Below are 22597 nucleotides of genomic sequence, written 5' to 3'. Positions count from 1 at the left end.
TTTTTGTATTTTTAGTAGAGACAGGGTTTCACCATATGAGTCAGGCTGGTCTCAAAGTCCTGACCTCAGGTGATCCACCAGCCTCGGCCTCCCAAAATGCTGGGATTACAGGCATGAGCCACCACACCCCTCTAATTTTTGTATTTTCAGTAGAGACGGGGTTTTTTATGTCTATTATTTATTTTATGTCTATTATTTATTATTGTACACAACTGACGCTCCATCCCCCCCACCCCCGACCTTTTTCTTTTTTAGAGATGGGGTCTCGCTCTGTCACCCAGGCTGGAATGCAGTGGTGCGATAAGAGCTAAGTGCAGCCTCGAATTCCCAGGCCTCAGGCCATCCTCCTGCCTCAGCCTGCGGAGTAAATGGAACTACAGGTGCGCGCCACCACACCCAGCTGATTATTTCTAAATGATTTACTTCATCAACACTTCCCACATAAGTAGGGCACACATTAGGCGCTCCATAAATACTTGTCAAACGCCTACACGAAGGAAGATTAATGTCTGGCAAGAATGAATCCACCTTCCACCATGCCTACCCCGCTAAAAACTACATTTCCAGCCAGGCGTGGTGGCTCACACCTGTAATCCCAGCACTGTGGGAGGCCGAGGCAGGAGAATCACGAGGTCAGGAAATCGAGACCATCCTGGCTAACACGGTGAAACCCCGTCTCTACTAAAAATACAAAAATTAGCCAGGCGTGGTGGCGCATGCCTTTAGTCTCAGCTACTCGGGAGGCTGAGGCAGGAGAATCGCTTGAACCTGGGAGGCGGAGGTTGCAGTGAGCCGAGATCACGCCACTGCACTCCAGCCTGTGAAACAGAGCGAGACTCCATCTTAAAAAACAAAACAAAACAAACAAAAAAAAAACTACATTTCCCTGGGCGCTTGGCGCGACGCGCTCCCACCACGTTTGAAAGAGCGACAATTACTTCCCACGGCCCCTTACCGCCCCCTCCCGCCGGTGCCACAGTGGTTGATGGGAAGGTAGTTTTTACGCACTTTGGCCGGCCCCTAGCGATCTGAACCCAAACTAAATTTCCCAGCAAGCAGCGCGCCGGCCTGGGAAAAGGAGCAAGATGGCTGACTCCAAAGAGGGTGTTTTGCCGCTGACGGCTGCTTCCACTGCCCCAATTTCATTCGGCTTCACTCGCACGTCCGCACGGAGGCGGCTGGCCGACTCGGGAGACGGCGCGGGGCCATCTCCGGAGGAGAAGGATTTCTTGAAAACCGTGGAAGGGAGGGAGCTGCAGAGGTGACGCGCCGGGTCTTTCACCCCTTGGAAATCTCTGCGGTGGGCGTAAGCGGGAGGGAGGAATCTCAGTTGTTTGTCTTGGTGACAGTGACCTGTTAAGCCTGAAGCACAGCCTGAGTAAATTCGTGGAGGCCAGAAGGCGGGAGTTTATAGGAGGGGGTGAGGAAATTGGGCCTGATAGCTGTGGGAATTGCGAAGAGAGGATGTATTACTGAGAAGAAGTGTCTTTAGGACTTGAAGACACTAAGGTCTGTGCGTTCTGGGAGAAGGAAAGAATGAGAAAATGACAGGACCTGCTAGTGTCTCAACTGAAGGGCTGAGGCGTCCCCGATATGGGGAACGGGATGGAGCGGCAGATTCAGGTTGATGGAGGCCACCATCAGCTTAATGAGGAGAGGAGTGTCTGAGGGGTCTGAGGGAGGGATTTCCAGAAGAGAATCAGGCATCTAGGAAGCTGTTTGGGAACCTGGAGCTGGGGAAGGTCTGGGCTGAAGATAGTGATTTGTGGGCCATTGTAGAAGCCGGTATTGAGTTAAACAGAGAGTGCAGGACTTATTTCTCGAAGGCACTGACATTTATGAGTTGGGGGCACTGGGGAGATAATCCAGAGAATGCACGATCAGAGAGGAACAGGAGATCCAGACATGGAGTAGGGAAGACATGGTCTGTGGGGCTGGGGTGAGTTTGGCTCTTGTGTTTTCTCTGAATGAAGGAGTGTGACCCACTGACCCTGCCATTCTCCCAACCCCACCCCTCTGTGTCCACATCAGTGTGAAGCCCCAGGAGGCCCCCAAGGAACTCGTCATCCCTTTGATCCAGAATGGCCATCGCAGGCAGCCACCAGCCCGGCCCCCTGGGCCATCCACAGATACTGGGGCCTTGGCGGATGGGGTGGTGTCCCAGGCTGTGAAGGAGCTCATTGCGGGTGAGTGATACCCCTTTACCCTTCCCCATTGAAGGAAGAAGAGGAAGAAGGTGGAAGGATAGAGTGGGACTTCATTGCTCCCTCCTATTCTTCCTTTAGAATCCAAGAAGTCTCTGGAAGAGAGAGAGAATGCGGGTGTCGACCCCACGCTCGCTATCCCCATGATCCAGAAAGGATGCACCCCCAGCGGGGAAGGGGCAGACAGCGAACCCCGGGCAGAGACAGTGAGCTGGCCCCTTGTCCCCCTCCTGCCCCAGCCTTTCTTTGCCCTGTCCGCCAGGCTGTGTCCCTGCACGTAGCAGGGAAAGTCTGTGTGTGTGCTAGAGGCCCGCCACCTGCCCCTTCTCCTGTCATCATTTTGGAAGCATTACCAAATGAATCTGGGTATCTGGATGCTAAAAACGTACTTGAATCCTAGGATTATCTGAATGAGGTGTGCAGCAAAGGGAACAGGAAATGTAAAGGCCCTGAAGGTAGACACTGCCTAAAGTGTTTGCGGAACACCAAGGAGACCAGTGTGACTGAAGTGGAATGAGTAAGGGGAAGGGGTAGTAGACGAAGTCAGAAAGGAGATGGGGGTGCTAGACCAGGCAGGGCCTTGTAGGCCATTGTGAGGACTTTGGCTTTTACTCTGAGTGAGATGAGAGCCTGGACAAGCCCTGAGCATAGATGAAATATGATTTATGATTTGACAGTATCCCTCTGGAAGCTGTGAACAGACTCATTAGTGAAGGTGGAAGCAAGGGGATGAGTAGTCCAGGCTAGAGATGCTGGGGACTTAGACCAGAGTGGTCTGGAAGGATAAGTAGGGTTTAGTGAGAGAGGGAAGAACAGAGTGAGTACTCCTGTTAGTAGTAACAGCCCAAGCAATGGCATAGTGGTAGAAAATCGATATGGTGTGTCCATCAGTGAGGCAACATGTGGTGTATCTGGAGTGAATGGGAAGGAGTGATGATGGGAGGTGACAAGAGGGGACGTGAGAGGCATGTCTACAGAAGTAACCAAGTCTGTCTTTCATACCCACAGACCTGACTTTTCACCTCTTCTTTCATAAATTTCTTGCACTGCTTCTTTTGAGTCTAGTTCTTCTACAGCCCCACACCACTCTCTCTTTCAACTGAACTGTTCTCTTCAGCCTTCAGATGTGCCCTGGTTTCCTTCAACATTTTTTTGTTTGTTTGTTTTTTGTTTTTTGAGATAGAGTCTTGCCCTGTCGCCCAGGCTGGAGTGAAGTGGTGTGATCTCGGCTCACTGCAACCTCCCGGTCCTGGGATCAAGCGATTCTCCTGCCTCAGCCTCCCAAGTAGCTGGGATTACAGACACGTGTCACTACCGCCTGGCTAATTTTTGTATTTTTAGTAGAGACGAGGTTTCGCCACGTTGGTCAGGCTGGCCTTGAACTCCTGACCTCAAGTGATCTACCCACCTCAGCCTCCCAAAGTGCTGGGATTACCGGCGTGAGCCACTGTGCCCAGCTCCTTCATCTTTAAAGAAAAAAAAGATCCTCACTTCCCTCTTCATCCTTTCATCCTGTTCCAGCTTTGGCCTCATTCTTCTAATTTTTCCCTCTATAAACCTCCTCCTGCAGCTTTCTACATATCAGGTGACCAAAAATTCCATCCATCCTTCCTCTCACTCAGCATAAAAACCTTGGAGTCAGCCAGGGGCGGTGGCTCACGCCTGTAATCCCAACACTTTGAGAGGCTGAGGCCAGCGGATCACCTGAGGTCAGGAGTTCAAGACCAGCCTGGCCAACATGGCGAAACCCCATCACTAGTAAAAATACAAAAATTAGCTGGGCATGGTGGCACGTGCCTGTAATCACAGCTACTCGGGAGGCTGAGGCAGGAGAATCGCTTGAACCCAGGAGACTGAGGTTGCAGTGAGCTGAGATCATGCAACTGCACTCCAGCCTGGGCAACACAGCAAGACTTCATCTCAAGAAAAAAAAAAAAGAAAACCTTGGAGTCATCCTCAATTCCTCTCTTTATTTCGTGCCCCATACAATATGCCAGCACAATCCTATCATCTTTTTTCAAAATGACACCCAGAACTGACCACTTCTCACCACCACCAATACCACTGCAAAGGGCTGAGCCACCAGCATCTCTCATCTGGACTATTAGAGTAATTTCCTCACTGGTCCCTCTTGTGGCTCCCACCTGGCTCAAGGTCCTCTGACTCCTGCCCAGCTCTCCTGATTTGGTCTCTTCCCCACCCTTCTCTGCTGTCTACTCTCACTCTCTCCATTTCAGTCATGGTGACTTTCATGATACCCCTCACACATACCAAGCCTTGTCCGGCCTCAGGGCCTTTGCTGTTACTATGCTTTCAGCTTGGGACACTTTCTTCTCATATCCTCATGGCTCCCTCTGCTGTCATCTCCTGATCTCTGCTTAAATGTCAACCCAGTGGCACTCCCTCTCCATCCCTCTGCATCTTCTTACCCTGTTTTCTTGTTCTTTACATCACCACCTGACATATCATGTTTTCTGGGTTTTATTTATAGTATGTCTCCACAACTAGATCAGAAGCTCTGCAGGGGTAGGGGTTTTTGTCTGTTTGGTTCACAGCTTCATCCCCAGTACCTAGAACAGTACTTGCCATAGACAAGGTGCTTTATATTTGTTGAAGGACTGAACATGGAGGAGTACAGTGAGGGATGGAAAGAGGAAATCAAAACTCACCCTTGAGCTGATTGGAAAAGACGCGTAGCAGGTCTCCCAGTGGGGGGCAGCAAGTGCACTTCAAATAGAAGACCCAGTGTAAGCAAAGCCTGACCCTCCTTCCTCTACCTGAACCTGTAGGTGCCAGAGGAGGCTAATTATGAGGCGGTCCCCGTGGAGGCCTATGGGCTGGCCATGCTGCGGGGCATGGGCTGGAAACCTGGCGAGGGCATCGGCCGCACCTTCAATCAGTGAGTTCTGGGATAGGGTCGAGGGGACAGACAGATCATCAGGCTGCAATCAAGATCCCCAGGGTCACTGCCAAACCAGAACCACCTAGGCAGGGAGGGAGGATACATTATCGCCCTAACTAATTCAGCAGCCCCTTCCACTACTGTTTTAAACTCCCATTTGCCCTTTGAAACTCTAATAGAATCCCATTTATATAAAGTTTGCCTCTAGGGACATCAATTTCCTCATCTGAAAAATGGGGGTAATAGTACTGACTTCATAGGTCTGTTGTGAGAGTTAAATGAAATTATACACATAGGCCAGGTAGTGGCTCATGCCTGTAATCCCAGCACTTTCGGAGACTGAGGCAGGAGGATCACTTAACTCCAGGAGTTTGAGACTGGCCTGGGCAACATAGGGAGGCCCCATCTCTACAAAAGATTAATTAATTTTAAGAAAAGAAATTAGGGCCGGGTGTGGTGGCTCACACATATAATCCCAGCACTTTGGGAGGCTGAGGTGGGTGGATCACGAGGTCAGGAGATCGAGACCATCCTGGCTAACACGGTGAAAGCCCATCTCTACTAAAAAAAAAAATACAAAAAATTAGCCGGGCATGGTGGCGGGTGCCTGTAGTCCCAGCTACTCAGGAGGCTGAGGCAGGAGAATGGCGTGAACCTGGGAGGCGGAGCTTGCAGTGAGCCGAAATTGCACCACTGCATTCCAGCCTGGGTGACAGTGAGACTCCGTCTCAAAAAAAAAAAAAAAAAGGAAAAGGAAAAGAAATTATATACATAAAGCACATACAGTAGGCCCTGACCCCAAGAAAGCGTAGACTAAACATTTGCTATTGTCATGCAGACTTGCAACCCTTTCTTCACAATTGCAAACTCAATAATTCTGAAAACCAAACATTTTTTCATAACCCATTGGCAGCCAAATATGACCTGAATTGGCGTTTTTTTTTTTTTTTTTTTTTTTTTTTTGAGATGGAGTCTCTGTCTGTCACCCAGGCTGGGATGCAGTGGCGCAATCTCGGCTCGCTGCGACCTCTACCTCCTGAGTTCAAGTGATTGTCCTGCCTCAGCCTCCTGAGTAGCTGGGATTACAGGCATGCACCAGCATGCCTGGTTAATTTTTGTATTTTTAGTAGAGATGGGGTTTCCCCATGTTGACCAGGCTGGTCTTGAACTCCTGACCTTAGGTGATCTACCAACCTCGGTCTCCCAAAGTGCTGGGATTACAGGCATGAGCCACCATGCCCAACCATGTTGAGTATTTATAATCCGGTTTCTCCTGCTCGGTGTGAATGTTCATATGATTTCCCCTGTAGAAATAGTATATTTGGTTACAGCGATCTGCCTCTGATCTCACTGTAGATATTATGTAATAGATGGTATATGCAGCATGTTATTAGGTTGAACCAAATGAAATTGCTGTTTCTGTAGGTCAAAAACAGTCCTAATATGAGATCAGAAAGGGCAACCTTGAAAATATTGGTGGGGGCTGGACACGGTGGCTCACACCTGTAATCTCAGCACTTTGGGAGGCCAAAGAGGACGGATCACCTGAGGTCAGGAGTTCAAGACCGGCCTGACCAACATGGTGAAACCCTGTCTCTACTAAAAATACAAAAATTAGCCGGGCATGGTGGCATGCGCCTGTAACCCCAGCAACTCGGGAGGCTGAGGCAGGAGAATCCCTTGAACCTGGGAGGTGGAGGTTGCATTGAGTCGAGATCGAGCCATTGTACTCCAGCCTGGATGACAAGAGCAAAACTCCATCTCCAAAAAAAAAGAAAAGAAAAGAAAATGTCAATGGGGCGGGTGGGGCGGGTTTGGGCAGGAAGAGGAAGTAAATAAGGTGTTGAAGACTGTTGCATCCTCTCCAACAAACCCATATTCCTCCCTGCAGAGTAGTGAAGCCCCGTGTCAACTCACTGAGGCCCAAGGGGTTAGGGCTGGGTGCCAACCTGACCGAGGCCCAGGCCTTGACCCCCACTGGCCCCTCCCGCATGCCAAGACCAGATGAGGAGCAAGAGAAAGATAAGGAAGATCAGCCTCAAGGGCTGGTGCCTGGAGGAGCTGTGGTGGTTCTTTCTGGCCCTCACCGAGGCCTCTATGGGAAGGTAAGGAACCAAGATATCCCGGGAGCCCAAAACAGGCAGCAGGGAAGGTTGATCCGAGGGTCAGATGGAGGAATAATTGGATTTGAGGTAGAAAGGCTGGGACTCCTAGTCTTTTAGGTCTGCTTGGCCCACTGCCTCACTCAGTAACCCAGGACCACTTGCTGGCCTTTGTGAGCCTCAGTTCCCAGCTAAAAGGAAGAGAATGCCATATGCCACAAGTCCCTGAAGATTAAATGCTTAAAGGATCCAAGGAAGCCCCACAGTCAGCTGAGGGAGACACAGGAACCAGACCTGGTCCCACTTCTCAGGGGTCAGAGTCTGGTTGGGGAGACAGAGGAAGCAGGCCTCTTAGAGGTAAGGGGTTGACATCTTGGTCCTAGGAATGTGGGTGGAGTCCACAACCCCTACCTGACTTCTTCCCCTCAACACTTTAGGTGGAAGGCCTTGATCCTGACAATGTTCGGGCCATGGTTCGTCTGGCTGTGGGGAGCCGGGTGGTGACTGTTAGTGAGTACTACCTGCGGCCTGTCTCCCAGCAGGAGTTTGACAAGAACACCTTGGATCTCAGTGAGTGAGCCTCTTGTAGAGCTAGGGGAGTTGGCAACGCATTCCTAGGGGTGGCAGGGCCTGGCTAATGGGGTGGTTTTAGATCTGCAGCAGGGAGGGGCAGCAGTGTGCCTGGCAGATATGACTTCCAATCAGAGGTCAGGAGGTGAGAATGGACATAAGTGACTTACTCCATTTGATTGGAGAAAGGTCGATGTCATACCCCTGGGTCTGTAGCCTGTCTGAGTGAGAAGAAACAGGTGCAGAAACCAATTCCTACCTTCGAGATCTTTGTCCATTTGGGGTGATGAACCTCTCTTTTACTAGGGAGTGAGAACTGCTAGGATTAGGGTGTGACCAAGAAGGAAGGAATTCTAGGCAGACAGAACAGCACAGGCGAAGGCGTTTCGGTAGGACGGGGCAGTTTGGCAAATGGGTACAGACAGAGCTCTCTGGGAATCTCTAGTCCACACTAGGTGAGCATTGTTGTTGTGGGCTAGGTTGGCTGCGGGAGGGTTCCTGAAGGAAGCTGAAATGGTTGAGAGGTGGGGGAGAGGCATTCTACTAGCAAATGCATGAGGGGTGAGAGGGGCACTTTGGCAGGTGGGAGGTGGCTCTAGGCTGAGACATGGCCTTGGAAGGAAAGGGCAGTGAGACACTGAGGCTCTGTCCTGGTTCTCCTCATAACCTCTTGAACAGGCCAGATGAGCAAAACTTCCTTCCCCAGGGCAACAGAACGGAACTGCCTCATCACGGAAGACCCTCTGGAATCAAGAACTCTACATCCAGCAGGACAACTCAGAGAGGAAGCGGAAACACCTTCCAGACCGGTGGGACTCTGAGCATGCGGGAGGGGTCAAGAAGGCAGGGCTGTGGGTAGGCTCGAGCAGCCAGGGAAGGCTTCCAAGGCAAGGCGGGCTCATAGAAGGAACGGGGAACTGCATTGTGGGTGGGTTTCATAGCATAGGCAAAGGGAGGGCAACTGGAAAGTGCATCTGATGAAGAGCTAAGCCTGGTGCTGGCACCTTCTCCACAGACAGGATGGGCCTGCAGCCAAGAGTGAGAAAGCAGCCCCCAGAAGTCAGCACTGGTTGCACAGGGACCTGCGTGTGCGGTTTGTGGACAACATGTACAAAGGAGGCCAATATTACAACACCAAGGTGGGAACCCTGCAGCCTGAGTCCCCCTCCCTCTCCTAGGGACTGGGCCCCCCTACCTCTCTAAAATCTCACATCCCCCTGACCTGTATCCCCAGATGATAATTGAAGATGTCCTAAGCCCAGATACCTGTGTATGTCGGACAGATGAAGGCCGAGTCCTGGAAGGTGAGTTTGAGCGATGGCAGCTGGAGGTTGATCAAGAAGAGTGTTTTAGGCCCAGAGCCTGGCCCAGGCAAAGCTGGGAGGTTTGGCAGAGTTCAGGTATTTTGCAAGGCCTAGCATCCTCTTACAGAACATTAGACACTTCCATGATGGTGGTTGGTTATCTTGAGCCCCACTCTCCCAGTCTGTCAAGTTTTCTTTTTTTTCTTTTTTTTTTTTTTTGAGACAGAGTCTCACTCTGTCACCCAGGCTGGAGTGCAGTGGCGTGATCTCAGCTCACTGCAACCTCCACTTCCCAGGTTCAAGCGATTTTCCTGCCTCAGCCTCCCGAGTAGCTGGGATTACAGGCAAGCGTCACCACACCTGGCTAATTTTTGTGTTTTTAGTAGAGACAGGGTTTCACCATGTTGACCATGCTGGTCTTGGAACTCCTGACCTTAAGTGATCCTCCCACCTCGGCCTCCCAAAGTGCTGGGATTACAAGCGTGAGCCACCGCGCTCGGCCTCCGGTCTGTCAAATTAGCATGGAATTTACTATTTCTTCCTCTTGTGATTGGTGCCTTAGTGAAGGAATGTGTATTGAGCTCTCAGTGCAGGGCAGGGGTTAAAACATGCCCACAATAAAAGGTGCCTGTTGTTATCACCACCACCCTTTATTACAGTGATTTTTGTAAACTACTCCTTAGGCTACCTCATCTGTGAAATGGATGTGGCGGGACTCCCATCTGTCAACAGGGTGTAGAGTGGCTCCAGGGAATACAGGAAAGGCCCTTCTTTTTTTTTTTTTTTTTTTTTTTTTTTTTTTTGAAACAGAGTCACTCTGTCACCCAGGCTGGAGTGCAGTGACGCAATCTTGGCTCACTGCAACCTCCGCCTCCCGGGTTCAAGCTATTCTTCTGCCTCAGCCTCCTGAGTAGCTGGAACTACAGGTGCCCGCTACCACACCCAGCTAATTTTGGTATTTTTAATAGAGACAGGTTTTCACCATATTGGCCAAGCTGGTCTTGAACCCCTTACCTCGTGATCCTCCTGCCTCAGCCTCCCAAAGTGCTGGGATTACAGGCATGAGCCACCACACCCAGCTGAAAGGCCCTTCTTTTTTTTTTTTTTCTTTTTTTTTTTTTGAGATTGGGTCTCATTTTATCACCTATGCTGGAGTGCAGTGGCACCATCATGGATCACTGCCACCTCAAATTCCTGGTTTCAAGCCATCCTCTCACCTCAGCCTCCTGAGTAGCTGGGACTGCAGGCACTGACCACCATGCCTGGCTAATTTTAAAATTTTTTGTAGGCTGGGCGCGGTGGCTCATGCCTGTAATCCCAGCACTTTGGGAGACCGAGGAGGGTGGATCACCTGAGGTCAGGAGTTTGAGACCAGCCTGACCAACATGTCAAAACCCCATCTCTACTAAAAATACAAAATTAGCCAAACGCAGTAGTGGGTGCCTGTAATCCCAGCTACTCAGGAGGCTGAGGCAGGAGAATCGTTTGAACCCAGGAGGCGGAGGTTGCAGTGAGCCAAGACCACACCATTGCACTCCAGCCTGGGCAACAAGAGCCAAACTCAGTCTCAAAAAACAAAACAAAAAAATCTGTAGAGATGAGGTCTGACCATCTTGCCCAGGTTGGTCTCGAACTCCTGGGCTCAAGCGATCCTCCCAACTTAGCCTCCCAAAGTGCTGGGACTACAGGTGTGAGCCACCACGCCTGGCCAGGAAAGGCCCTTCTGACAGGACGCTGGTTGGGCTGGTCCTTGCTGTGGGCCTCACTCCCCTCTCCCTTATCCATAGGCCTGAGGGAAGACATGCTGGAGACCCTGGTTCCCAAGGCAGAGGGTGACCGTGTGATGGTGGTGCTGGGCCCACAGACTGGAAGGGTGAGTCTCAGACCTGGCAGTAGAGGTTTGTGGGTCGTTCAGGGCCTGTCCCAGGGTCTAGGCTTGCCTTGCTGATTCCACTTCACCTCTGTTCCAGGTGGGACATTTGCTGAGCCGGGACAGAGCACGGAGCCGGGCTTTGGTGCAACTGCCAAGAGAAAATCAGGTGGTGGAGCTTCACTACGATGCCATCTGCCAGTACATGGGCCCTAGTGACACAGATGATGACTGACCCATGGGACTCCTCCCATCCCCCAGGCTGGTACCAGTTCTGTACCATATGAGAAAGTTGCCTTCAGAAGGTGGGAAGATCATTGTTCCATCCTCTACTTCTGGTGCAGTCCTGGGACAAGGACAAGGGAAAGGGATGGGTGAACCAGTAGGGAAGCTAGAAACAAACCCAATATTTACCAAAATTTAGGGTATAATAAAAACCATTTCAAGTACTTAATAGAAAGATGAAATCATAAGTGGTATGATGAGCTGCGAGTTAAGGTGGGAACTGAGTTGACTGAGGTGGGAACCATTTCACTTTTCAGCCTTGCTTTTCTGCTCAGGGTACAGGACAAGTTAAAGGACTCATTTGATTGTGAGCTCACTCTTGGAATATAGATACTATAAGCTTGGGCACAGTGGTGCATGCCTGTAATCCTAGCACTTTAGGAGGCTGAGGTGGATGGATCGCTTGAGCCCAGGAGTTCAAGATCAGCCTGGCCAACAAGGTGAAACCCTGTCTCTACTAAAAGTATAAAAATACAAAAAATTACCGAGGTATGGTGGTGCACGCCTATAATCCTAGCTACTCAGGAGGCTGAGGCAAGAGAATCGCTTGAACCCAGGAGGCAGAGGTTGCTGTGAGCCCAGATTGCGCCACTGCACTCCAGCCCAGGGGACAGAGTTAGACTCTGTCTCAAAAAAAAAAAAAAAAATCTTTAGATGCTGTGGAATCTGAAATACTGTATCTCTGAACAACTTTCTGAGCAAGAACTCTAGCAACTAGCAGCAGAGTATGCTTTCACTCTCAGTTTAGAGCAGGACCCCAGAGAATATGCTGAGCCTGGGGTCTTCCTCTGTTGCCCAGACTGGAGTGCAGTGGTGCAATCATAGCTCACAGCAGCATTGATCTCCTGGGCTCAAGCGATCTTCCCGTCTCAGCCTCCCAAAGTGCTGGGATTATAGGCACTGGAATGAGCCACCGTGCCTGGTCTCTGGCTTGTATTTTGTTAATCGTAGGGAGGATGTTCCCAACTTCTCATGTCCAGTAGTCCATTTCCTATGCTTTATGCACTTCACTCTGTCAAGGAGGCCTCCTCCTTTCTCCAATCATAATAAACCAGCCTTGGTAGCACCTTTGAGAAGGGCTAAAGCTCCCCAGGGAATGGCACTGGGGCTCTGTCTCTGCCTGTAACACAACATAACCTGGCCATTTCAGACACCCTCCATCTCCTCCCCGTGCCACAATGCTAAAGCAGATATCTCATCAGCTTCAGATTTCCTGGAATTCATCTTTCTCCTAAGCCTACGCTTGAAAATGGGGCCCAAAGTTCTTGAATATGGCCCTTTGTCCAGAACACCTAGCTCCAGCCAAAGCGCCTGGTCTCCCTTGACAGGCCACTGGGACTTTTTCTGCTTTACCTTGAAAGGAGCCCTGCTGATCCCCATTTTGAGGACAGGGCTCCTTACATTCAGGGAAGTGTGGACAATATAAGGAGGCCTTCCCAATATGCCCTTTGTTCACTGTGCACAAACAAAGCCTTGTATCTGAAGACACTTTGAATCTGTGCAGTGTTCTCTCAGCTTGCTGCCTGGCACCTGCCTGCTGCCAAAGTTGCTCTTGCGGCAGTGGTTACTGCAGCAACGGCTTCTGTGAGCCCGAGAATTCTCTACAGGCCCCTCACAAGCTGGGGACTGTGACCTGTACAATTTGTCCAGACTGGCTTTTTTCACATCACAGGGATTGAGCAAGAGGTAGATTAAAAGGCATCTGCCTCTTCTGCCAAGCCCCCAGAAGTTTCCCTGGCAGGGGTCTGCTTCTGTTAAAAATTGTCCAGATGCCAAGCCTTGAATTTGTAGCAGCAGACTCAGGAAGCAGTTTCTTTGCCTTTCAGAGAGGAGTCAATTATTGAGGTGCTGTGGGTTGCTGTCTGGGCTGTGTTCAGTGGCAGATATGGACAGGTCAGCTCTTCTTTTAAAAAATTTTTTTTAAATAATTTTTTATTTTAAATATAAGAGAGACAAGGTCTCACTATATTGCTCAGGCTGGTCTTGAACTCCTGGGCTCAAGTGATCTTCCCATCTTGGCCTTCCAAAGTGCTGGGATTATAGGCATGAGCCACCACTCCTGGCCTCAGCTCTTTTTTTTTTTTTTTTTTTTTTTTTTTTGAGATGGAGTCTTGCTCTGTCGCCCAGGCTGGAATGCAGTGGCGTGATCTTGGCTCACTGCAACCTCCACCTCCCAGTTTCAAGTGATTCTCCTGCCTCAGCCTCCTTAGTAGCTGGGATTACAGGCGCATGCCACCATGCCCGGCTAATTTTTGTATTTTTAGTAGAGACGGGGTTTCACAGTGTTGGTCAGGCTGATCTCAAACTCCTGACCTCGTGATCTGCCCACCTCGGCCTCCCAAAGTGCTGGGTTTACAGACATGAGCCACCATGCCCAGCCTCAGCTCTCTTTTCTAACATTCCTTCCTCAGTCAAGGGAATGCTCCCCTCTACTCCCACACTGAGGCCACCTCTTCATCTCCATGTCTGCAGCACCACGCAGAGGGATGAAGTATCCAACAGCTTCTAAAGCTATCTAAGTGGGGGCGGGTCCTCACCAAGTCCCCTATCACACCAATTCATTCAACAAACATCTCTTGAGCTCCTACTGAATGCCAGGTACCATCCTGCATGCTAGGGGAACCGTATGGAGTAAATCACTTAATATCAAGACCCTACTATATGCCAGGCAGCATCCTGGGTACCGAGTATGGAGCTACAAACAAAACAAACATCCTTGCCCTTGTGGGGCTGACACTCCACTGGGGCTGAGACAGTGAGCAATAAGCAGAAGTAAGTGATGGAAGATGTTATAAGAAGCTGAGAACCATGGGGGAAAGGGGCAGTATTAATAGGATGGCCACAGAAAGCCTTAGAGAGAAGGTGACATTAAGCAACGGTATTAAGGAAGTAAGGGATGGTCATGCAGCTATCTGGGGAAAGCGGTCTAGACAGGGGAAATGAAGTGCAAAGGCCCTGTGGTAGCACTGTTGCTAGCATGTGTGAGGAACAGCCGGGAGGCTGGTGTGGCTGCAGGGGAGTAAGTGAGGGAGAAGGTGGTAGGAGGTCAGGTCAGGGAGATCCTGTAGTGCTGTAAGGTCAGTCCACTGGAACTACTATGGCTTTTGTTCTGACTGAAGTGGAAATCATGAGAAGCCTCCATATAGCCACTGCTAAAGACTGCCAGTTGACAACTCCCCACTTGCCATACACCCCCCACCATGTGCACACAGAACCACTCTAAATACATTTGTTCCTCTGGTGCTTTGGTCAATCTAGCTGATTTCCATTGTTGGGAACACAGATTTTCCCATTAGATGCCCAGCAAGGCTTCCTTTTTTTTTTTTTTTTTTTTGGAGACAGGGTCTCACTCTGTCTCCCAGGCTGATTGTGCAGGGACACAATCATGGCTCACTGCAGCCTTGATCTCCTGGGCTCAAGCAATCTTCCTGCCTACTGAGTAGCTGGGACTACAGGTGTGTGCCACCACGCCCAGCTAATTTTTTAAAAATTTTTTGTAGAGGCCAGGAGCACTGGCTCACGCCTATAATCCCAGCACTTTGGGAGGCCAAGGTGGGCAGATCACCTGAGGTCAGGAGTTTGAGACCAGCCTGGCCAACATGGTGAAACCCCATCTCTACTAAAAAGGCAAAAATTAGCCAGGCGTGGTGGCGTGCACCTGTAATCTCAGCTACTTGGGAGGCTGAGACAGGAGAATCGTTTGAACCCGGGAGGGGAAGGTTGCAGTGAGCTGAGATTGCGCCATTGCACTCCAGCCTGGGCAATAGGGCGAGACTTCATCTCAAAAGAAAAAAAAATAAATCATAACCGCCCCATGTGATGGCATTAGGGGTGAGGCCTTTGGGAGGTAATTAGGTCACAAGGGCAGAGCCCTCATAGATGGGATCAGTGCCTTAAAAGGCATCCCAGAGACTCTCGTCCTCTTTCAGCTATGTGAGAATACAAGAAGTCAGTAGTCTGCAGCCTAAATATCTTGCTTCATCTTTGGTGTTTCTGAACTGTATAAAAGTATACATCTTAGGCTGGGCACAGTGGCTTACGCCTGTAATTCCAGCACTTTGGGAGGCCAAGGCAGGCAGATCATGAGGTCAGGAGATCGAGACCATCCTGGCTAACACGGTGAAACCCCATCTCTACTAAAAATACAAAAAATTAGCCAGGTGTGGTGGCGGGCGCCTATAGTCCCAGCTACTCGGGAGGCTGAGGCAGGAGAATGGCGTGAACCTGGGAGGTGGAGCTTGTAGTGAGCCGAGATCGCGCCACTGCACTCCAGCCTGGGCGACAGAGCGAGACTCCGTCTCAAAAAAAAAAAAAAAAAAAAAGTATACATCTTAGTCTGTTTTGTGCTGTTGTACCAAAATACATGACACTGGGTAATTTATAAAGAATAGAAATTTATTCCTTATAGTTCTGGAGGCTGGGAAGTCCAAGATCTAGGTGCAGCATCTGGCCAGGGTCTTCTTGCTGTGTCATTCCATAGTGGAGGGGGAAAGAGTAAGAGAGGGCCAGAGAGGGGGCTGAACCCATTTTATTATGAGAAACCCACTCCCCACTCCCATAATAACAGCAGTAATCCATTCATGAGGCCTCTTGATTACCACTTTTTTTTTTTGGCTTAAACAACAGAAATTTATTTTCTCACAGTTCTGCAGGCTAGAATTCCCAGAACAAGGTCTGTCAGGGTCATTTCTGATGAGGACTCTTTTCCTGGCTTGCAGATTACCTCACTATGTTCTCACGTGGTAGAAAAAGACTCTCTCTCTCTCTCTCTCTCTCTTGCTTGCTTGATGACCTCTTAAAGATCTCACCTCTTAATACTGTTACAATGGCAATTACATTTCTTTTTCTTTTTCTTTTTTTGAGGCAGAGTAGTGCTCTGTCACCTAGGCTAGAGTGTAATGGTACGATCTCAGCTCACTGCAACCTCCACCTCCCAGGTTCACGCGATTCTCCTGCCTCAGCCTCCCGAGTAGCTGGAATTATAGGTGCCCGCCACCATGCCCGGCTAATTTTTGTATTTTTAGTAGAGATGGAGTTTCACCACGTTGGTCAGGCTGGTCTCAAACTTCTGACCTCAGGTGATCCACCCACCTTGGCCTCCCAAAGTGCTGGGTTTGAGAGGTACAAGTCATCAAACCATAACACTATGTAATCTTTGGAAACTTACTTTTTCCCCACTGGACATTCTAGATTTATCTTTTTTTTGTTTTTGTTTTTGTTTTTTTTGAGACAGGTTCTTGTTCTTTTGTCCAGGCTGGAGTGCAGTGCTGCAATCATAGGTCACTGCTGCCTCAAACTCAAGTATTCCTCGCCCCTCAGCCTCTTGAGTAGTTGGGACTACAGGTGCATCCCACCACACCTGGCTAATTTTTAAATTTTTAATAGAGACAGAGTCTCGCCATGTTGCCTATGCTGGTCTTGAACCCTTGGCCTCAGGCGATCCTCCTGCCCTAGCCTCTCAAAGTGCTGGGATTACAGGCATGAATCACTGCACCCGGCTTCTGGTTTTCTTTTTGTTTTTTTGTTTGTTTTGAGACAGTCTCGCTCTGTCACCCAGGCTGGAGTGCAGTGGCACAATCTTGGCTCACTGCAACCTCCACCTCCCAGATTGAAGCGATTCTCCTGCCTCAGCCTCCCGAGTAGCTGGGATTACAGGTGCCCGCCACCCAGGTAATTTTTGTATTTTTAGTAGAGACAGGGTTTCTCCATGTTGGCTAGGCTGGTCTCGAACTCCTGACCTCAGGTGATCCGTCCATCTCAGTCTCCCAAAGTGCTGTGATTACAGGCGTGAGCCACCACACCCAGCCGGCTTTCTCTTAACACTCATGTAGCACTTGATGTGTGTGTCAGGCACTGTTCTGTCCCCTTTACATTCACAATCCTTTATTTATTTGTTTGTTTATTTATTTATATTTTTGAGACCAAGCCTCACTCTGTTGCCCAGGCTGGAGTACAGTGGCACGATCTCAGCTCACTGCATCCTCTGCCTCCCAGGTTCAAGTGATTATCCTGCCTCAGCCTTCCAAGTAGCTGGGTTTACAGGCCCCTGCCACCACACCTGGCTAATTTTTTTTTTTTTTTTTTTTTTTTTTTTGTATTTTTAGTAGAGACGAGGTTTCACCATGTTAGCCAGGCTGGTCTTGAACTCCTGACCTCAGGTGATCCACCCACCTCGGCCTCCCAAAGTGCTGGGATTACAGGCTTGAGCCACTGTGCCCAGCCCACAATCCTTTAAATCATTTAAATCCTCATAATGGCCTGTGGGATACACACTGTTACCATGTCCATTTTACATATGAGGGAACTGAGGCACCGAGTGGTTAAATGATTTGCATGATAGTTCTAGCTGGCAAGCAGAGAGCCAGGATTGTAAGCCAGGCAGACCGGGCATGAGTGCACATTCTTGTCCCTCTGCTTCACGCCGTCACTCCCAGCTGTTGCTATGATTCCTGTTTGCCTGTAGGGGTAGCTGTTCATTTATTTCCACTGCCATACAGCATTCCATGGTGTGCATGTGCAGCCTGGGTGTCCATATTCTCCTGTAACGGCCCTTTGGGCTGTTTCTGGTTCTTGCTGTTTGGAGTAACACTGCAGTGTTCACTCCCGCACATGTCTCCTGGTTCACATAGGCACGCAGACTCTCAGAGGGGAATCTGAGGGCGTAGGATTTGCATGTCTCTAACTTCTTCAGGTGATGCCAGACTATTTCCACAAGTGAATGCTAGCTCAGTCCCCAGGCCTCCCCAGGCCTCAGTTTCCCCATGTATTAGATAGGCCATTTGGGGACTTGAAGCTCTCAGATACAGGAACAGCAGTTTGGAGGAGCTGAGCAGGTCTGGGGTGTGACTGACATTCCCAGGTACCTGAAGGAGGAACTGCACATCTCCAGGTGGGACCTGCAGTCCTTCCTGGAAACTTCCATGGCTCCCCACACATGCAAGTTCAAAGCCTCTCTCCTGAACCTAGGTTCAGAGCCCCTTCTGCAGTGGTAGTTCCAACCTCCCTCCCATGTCCCCACTCACAGCTAAGCTTCGGGCCTGGAGCACCTCCAACCTGCTGATCAGGGCAAGTCCCAATGTGGCCTTCAAGGCCATTGCACATGTTCATTGTGACACTGTTCGCTGAGCAGTCACTGTGTGCTAGGCGTATCTGCAGCATCTGGACAGACGACACTAAATGGGTATTGAAGGATTGAATGAGGGATCAATAATGATATCCAGTTTGATTCAGTGGTTCCAGAGGTTTTTCTAAGTGCTTTCCATTTATTAACTCATCTCACATTCACAAATGACCCCATAAAGTAAGCACTATTGTTATCCCCATTGTACTGACAGGGAAGCTGAGGTCCAGAGGAGCTTGGGTGCCTTGCTCGAGGTCACACAGCTTGTGAGTGGTGGTTGGAGCTGAGGAAACGTGAGAAATTGTTGTTCCCAAGCTGTGAGGTGCCACATGGGGGCCAAGATAAAATTATTCTTTTTCTTTTTAGAGATAGGGTCTCACCATCATTCAGGTTGTAGTACAGTGGCGCAATCATGGCTCACTGCCACCTCCAACTCCTGGGCTTAAGGGATCCTCCCACCTCAGCCTCCTGAGTAGCTGGGTCTACAGGCCAGTGCCACCATGGTGGGCTAATTTTTAAAAGTTTTTATTTTCCATAGAGATTGGGCTTTGCCATTTTGCCCAGGCTGGTCTTGAACTCGTGGGCTGAAGCAATCCGGCTCCGTCAACCTCCCAAAGCCCTGGGATTACAGGCGTGAGCCACTGTGCCTGGCCTGTTCTCCATTTTTTTACTTCTTTCTCTGCGTCCAGATTGATCCCCTTGAACACTAATTTAGGGGACACTAAAAATCTGCTACATTTGCTGGTTATTTTCTAAATTAACATTTAAAAGTTGCGTATTTCCTTATCAAGGTATGAGAATGATTTAAAAAAAAAAAAAAAAAAAAAAACAAGGTCTGGCTCTATTGCCCAGGCTGGAGTGCAGTGGCGTGATCTCGGCTCACTGCAGCCTCCGCCTCCCAGGCTCAAGCCATCCTCTTCCTCCCACCTCAGCCTCCCGAGTAGCTGGGACCACAGGCATGTTCCACCGTACCTGGCTAATTTTTATATTTCTTGTAGAGATGAAATTTTGCTGTGTTGCTCAGGCTAGTCTCGAACCTCTGAACTCAAGGGATCTGCCCACGTCAGTCTCCCAAAGTGTTGGCCCGATTTTTGTTATTTTAGTACATAATGGAATGAGTTTTCCCATTATGGACTATAGTGATTTACTAATCATTTTAATATCACGTTTCATATCATTCATATTTTTTATTACTGTTGATTGGCATCAGTAATTTGGAGCTAGTATGTATGTCTGTCTGTATGTATGTATTTATTTATTTAGAGACAGTCTCACTCTGTTGCCAAGGCTGGAGTGCCATGGTGCAATCTCGGCCCATTACAACTTCTGCCTCCTGGGTTTCAAGTGATTCTTGTGCCTTAGCCTCTGGAGCAGCTGAGATTACAAGCATGGGCCACCATGCCCAGCTAATTTTTGTATTCTTAGTAGAGACAGGATTTCACCATGTTGGCCAGGCTGGTCTCAAACTCCTTACCTCAAGTAATCCACCTGCCTGGGCCTCCCAAAGTGCTGGAATTACAGGTGTGAGCCACTGCGCCTGGCCTTTGTTTTTTGTTTTTGTTTTTTTTTTGAGACAGATTCTTGCTCTGTTGCCCAGGTTGGAGTGCAGTGGCGTGATCTCGGCTCACTGAGGCCTCCACCTCCTGGGTTCAAGCAATTCTCTCACCTCAGCCTCCCAAGTAGCTGGGATTACAGGCCCATGCCACCACACCCAACTAATATTTGTATTTATTTTTTTAATAAGACGTGGTCTCACTCTGTCACCCAGATTGAAGTGCAGTGGCACAATCTCAGCTCACTGCAACTTCTGCCTCCCAGGCACAAGTGATCCTCCCACCTCAGCCTCCCCAGTAGCTGGGACCACAGGCACACACACCACCACGACAGACTAATTTTTTGTATTTTTAGTATAGATGGGGTTTCACCATGTTGGCCAGGCTGGTCTTGAACTCCTGGCTTCGGGTGATCCACACACCTCCCAAAGTGCTGGGATTACAGGCGTGAGCCACCACGTCCGGCCAGAGCTAGTTTGTTTTTTGTTTGTTTGTTGTTTTGGTTTTTGTTTGTTTGTTTTTGAGACAGAGTCTTGCTCTGTTGCCCAGGCTGGAGTGCAGTGGCACGATCTCAGCTCACTGCAACCTCTGCCTCCCAGGTTAAAGTGATTCTCCTGCCTCAGCCTCCCGAGTAGCTGGGATTACAGGCACCCGCCACCACACCTAGCTAATTTTTGTATTTTTAGTAGAGACGGAGTTTCACCATGTTGGCCAGGCTGGTCTCGAACTCCTGACCTCAGGTGATCAGCCCACCTCAGCCTCCCAAAGTGCTGGGATTACAGGCGTGAGCCACTGTGCCCAGCCGAGCTTGTTTGTTTTTTATGTGTCTCCATCAACTCTTGCTTTTCTGCACTGGATGCCAGTATTTGGTGAGGTAATACCTCAGAGATAATTTGCTCTCCTGGGCCTTCAAATAGACTTAAAAACAGCAGCTTTAATCCAGCTTTTCTGTTTGCTTGTCTGCACAGCTGGAAGCAGAAGTAATTTACTACACAGTAAACACCAGGAACGCCCAAGAACTGGGATAGACCCCATCACCTTCGTCTCCAACCTCCAGGGGCACCAGATGAATCACCTCCTGTTTATATCTTTTTTTTTTTTTTTGAGACAGGGTTCTTGCTTTGTCACCCAGGCTGGAGTGCACTGGCATGATCACAGTGCACTGCAACCTTGAACTTCCAGGCTTAAGCAATCCTCCCTCCTCAGCCCCTCAAGTAGCTGGGACTACAGGCACACACCACCATACCCGGATAATTTTTAAAATTTTTTTATAAAGACAGGGTCTTACTGTGTTGCTTAGGTGGGTCTCAAACTCCTGAGTGCAAGGGATCCTCCCATCTCAGCCTCCCAAAGTGCTTGCATTACAGGTGTGAGCCACTATGCCTGGCTTCCTGTTTATATCTTCTGTATTTTGCTTCTTTTTGGGAAGGCATTCCCTGCAAGATCCTGGTTGCCACACCTCAGGCCCTGAGTAGGTAATAAGACACAGGGCTGTCTTCCACACCCTGGCCCCACTGATTGAGTCCTACACATAGGGAAGGTCCAGCTGCTGTCCTTTAAAACCAAACTGAGGCCAAGATGGCAAAATTTACGTTGCTATATCCTCTTCCTCCCCTCACCGTACTATCCTCATGGCCCTCCGTACCCGACTGCGGGGTGCTTCCTGGGACAGGCCTGACATAAGGAAGTGTCATTTCCCAACCCTCAGATCCAGTACGCCCTTTTAGTAAGAAACATTTCGGCCGGGCGCGGTGGCTCATGCCTGTAATCTCAGCACTTTGGGAGGCCAAGGTGGGTGGATCAACTGAGGTCGGGAGTTCGAGACCAGCCTGACCAACATGGAGAAACCCTGTCTCTACTAAAAATACAAAATTAGCTGGGCGTGGTGGCACATGCCTGTAATCCCAGCTACTAGGGAGGCTGAGGCAGGAGAATCACTTGAACCTGGGAGGCAGAGGTTGCAGTGAGCCAAGATCGTGCCATTGCACTCCAGCCTGGGCAACAAGAGCGAAACTCCGTCTCAGAAAAAAAAAAAAAAAAGAAAAGGCCTCCTTTTACCATCCTGAAATGACATTCACATTCATGTACATTACAAGTCTTGCTGGTGTGGGACAGCCCCCCAGCACCAGACCTCTGCCCATTCAGTGCCAAAGCACCCTCAAGGAGGAATTCCCAAAACACACCCCGAGGGCAGGCAGGAACAGGACCCTTGTCTGTCTGGTTCAGCGCGGAATCCCCACCACCTAATACAAGACCCTGAATGCACTAAGTAAATAATTGCAGTCTGGATAACTATGCTGTGATTTACTGCCCTCTTCCTACAAAGCTTCCCTGTCCTCTGTTCACTGCCCCTGCGTGGGGAGCCAGAGAAGAAAAACGACTCAGGGTGCACAGGGGCCAGCTCCCTTGCACAGAGAGTTCTACACAGTTCACTGATGCTGTGGGCAAATGGATGCTTCAGGGGCCCTCTGTCCTGCCGGGGGCGGAATGAGGACAGGGTGAGCACAGAAAGGAGAGACATCTGTAGAGTCAGTGACGCATGGTCAGAACACAGAGTCCAGAGTGCACAGCCTGACCCTGGCCCTGGCTCTGCTCAGCTGTGTGCCTTCTGGTAACCCCTACAGGGCCTTAGGTCTCTCATCCAGAACGCAACGATGATAATAGTAGTTAAGGTTGTTGTGAAGACG

The 22597-nt window shown here is 49.7% G+C and overlaps 1 protein-coding gene across 1 annotated transcript, besides 3 other annotated features; it reads left to right on the top strand.

Annotated features, from left to right (window-relative positions):
- Positions 96–749: an enhancer, noted in NCBI's record as "H3K27ac hESC enhancer chrX:48980409-48981062 (GRCh37/hg19 assembly coordinates)". NCBI's record gives its function as "activates a minimal SCP1, AML or CMV promoter by ChIP-STARR-seq in primed H9 embryonic stem cells {active_cell/tissue: H9 hESC(primed)}" and the evidence as "EXISTENCE:reporter gene assay evidence [ECO:0000049][PMID:30033119]".
- Positions 750–1403: an enhancer, noted in NCBI's record as "H3K27ac hESC enhancer chrX:48979755-48980408 (GRCh37/hg19 assembly coordinates)". NCBI's record gives its function as "activates a minimal SCP1, AML or CMV promoter by ChIP-STARR-seq in naive and primed H9 embryonic stem cells {active_cell/tissue: H9 hESC(naive and primed)}" and the evidence as "EXISTENCE:reporter gene assay evidence [ECO:0000049][PMID:30033119]".
- On the top strand, positions 1073–11401 carry GPKOW (G-patch domain and KOW motifs). The gene is made up of 11 exons (NM_015698.6): positions 1073–1261; positions 2032–2186; positions 2286–2410; positions 4994–5103; positions 6998–7211; positions 7646–7778; positions 8485–8587; positions 8794–8917; positions 9013–9082; positions 10870–10955; positions 11053–11401. Exons 1-11 carry the CDS (start codon positions 1086–1088, stop codon positions 11185–11187), a joined length of 1431 nt encoding a protein of 476 aa, NP_056513.2. The 5' UTR covers positions 1073–1085; the 3' UTR covers positions 11188–11401.
- Positions 6661–6772: a silencer, noted in NCBI's record as "fragment chrX:48974390-48974501 (GRCh37/hg19 assembly coordinates)". NCBI's record gives its function as "represses an EF-1alpha promoter that drives an FKBP-Casp9 reporter gene in an ReSE screen in HepG2 liver carcinoma cells {active_cell/tissue: HepG2}" and the evidence as "EXISTENCE:reporter gene assay evidence [ECO:0000049][PMID:32094911]".

Source organism: Homo sapiens, chromosome X (genome assembly GCF_000001405.40).
Source record: "Homo sapiens chromosome X, GRCh38.p14 Primary Assembly".
In the NCBI taxonomy this organism is placed as follows: Eukaryota; Metazoa; Chordata; class Mammalia; order Primates; family Hominidae; genus Homo; species Homo sapiens.
Note: the sequence above shows the minus strand (reverse complement) of the source record. Positions and strands in the feature narration are given on the sequence as shown.

Coding starts and splice junctions, on each gene's coding strand:
- GPKOW (NM_015698.6), top strand. CDS start 1,086: ATGGCTGACTCCAAAGAGGGTGTTTTGCCGCTGACGGCTGCTTCCACT. Junction 8,918..9,012: donor GCCAATATTACAACACCAAG/GTGGGAACCCTG, acceptor CTGTATCCCCAG/ATGATAATTGAAGATGTCCT. Junction 9,083..10,869: donor TGAAGGCCGAGTCCTGGAAG/GTGAGTTTGAGC, acceptor CCTTATCCATAG/GCCTGAGGGAAGACATGCTG.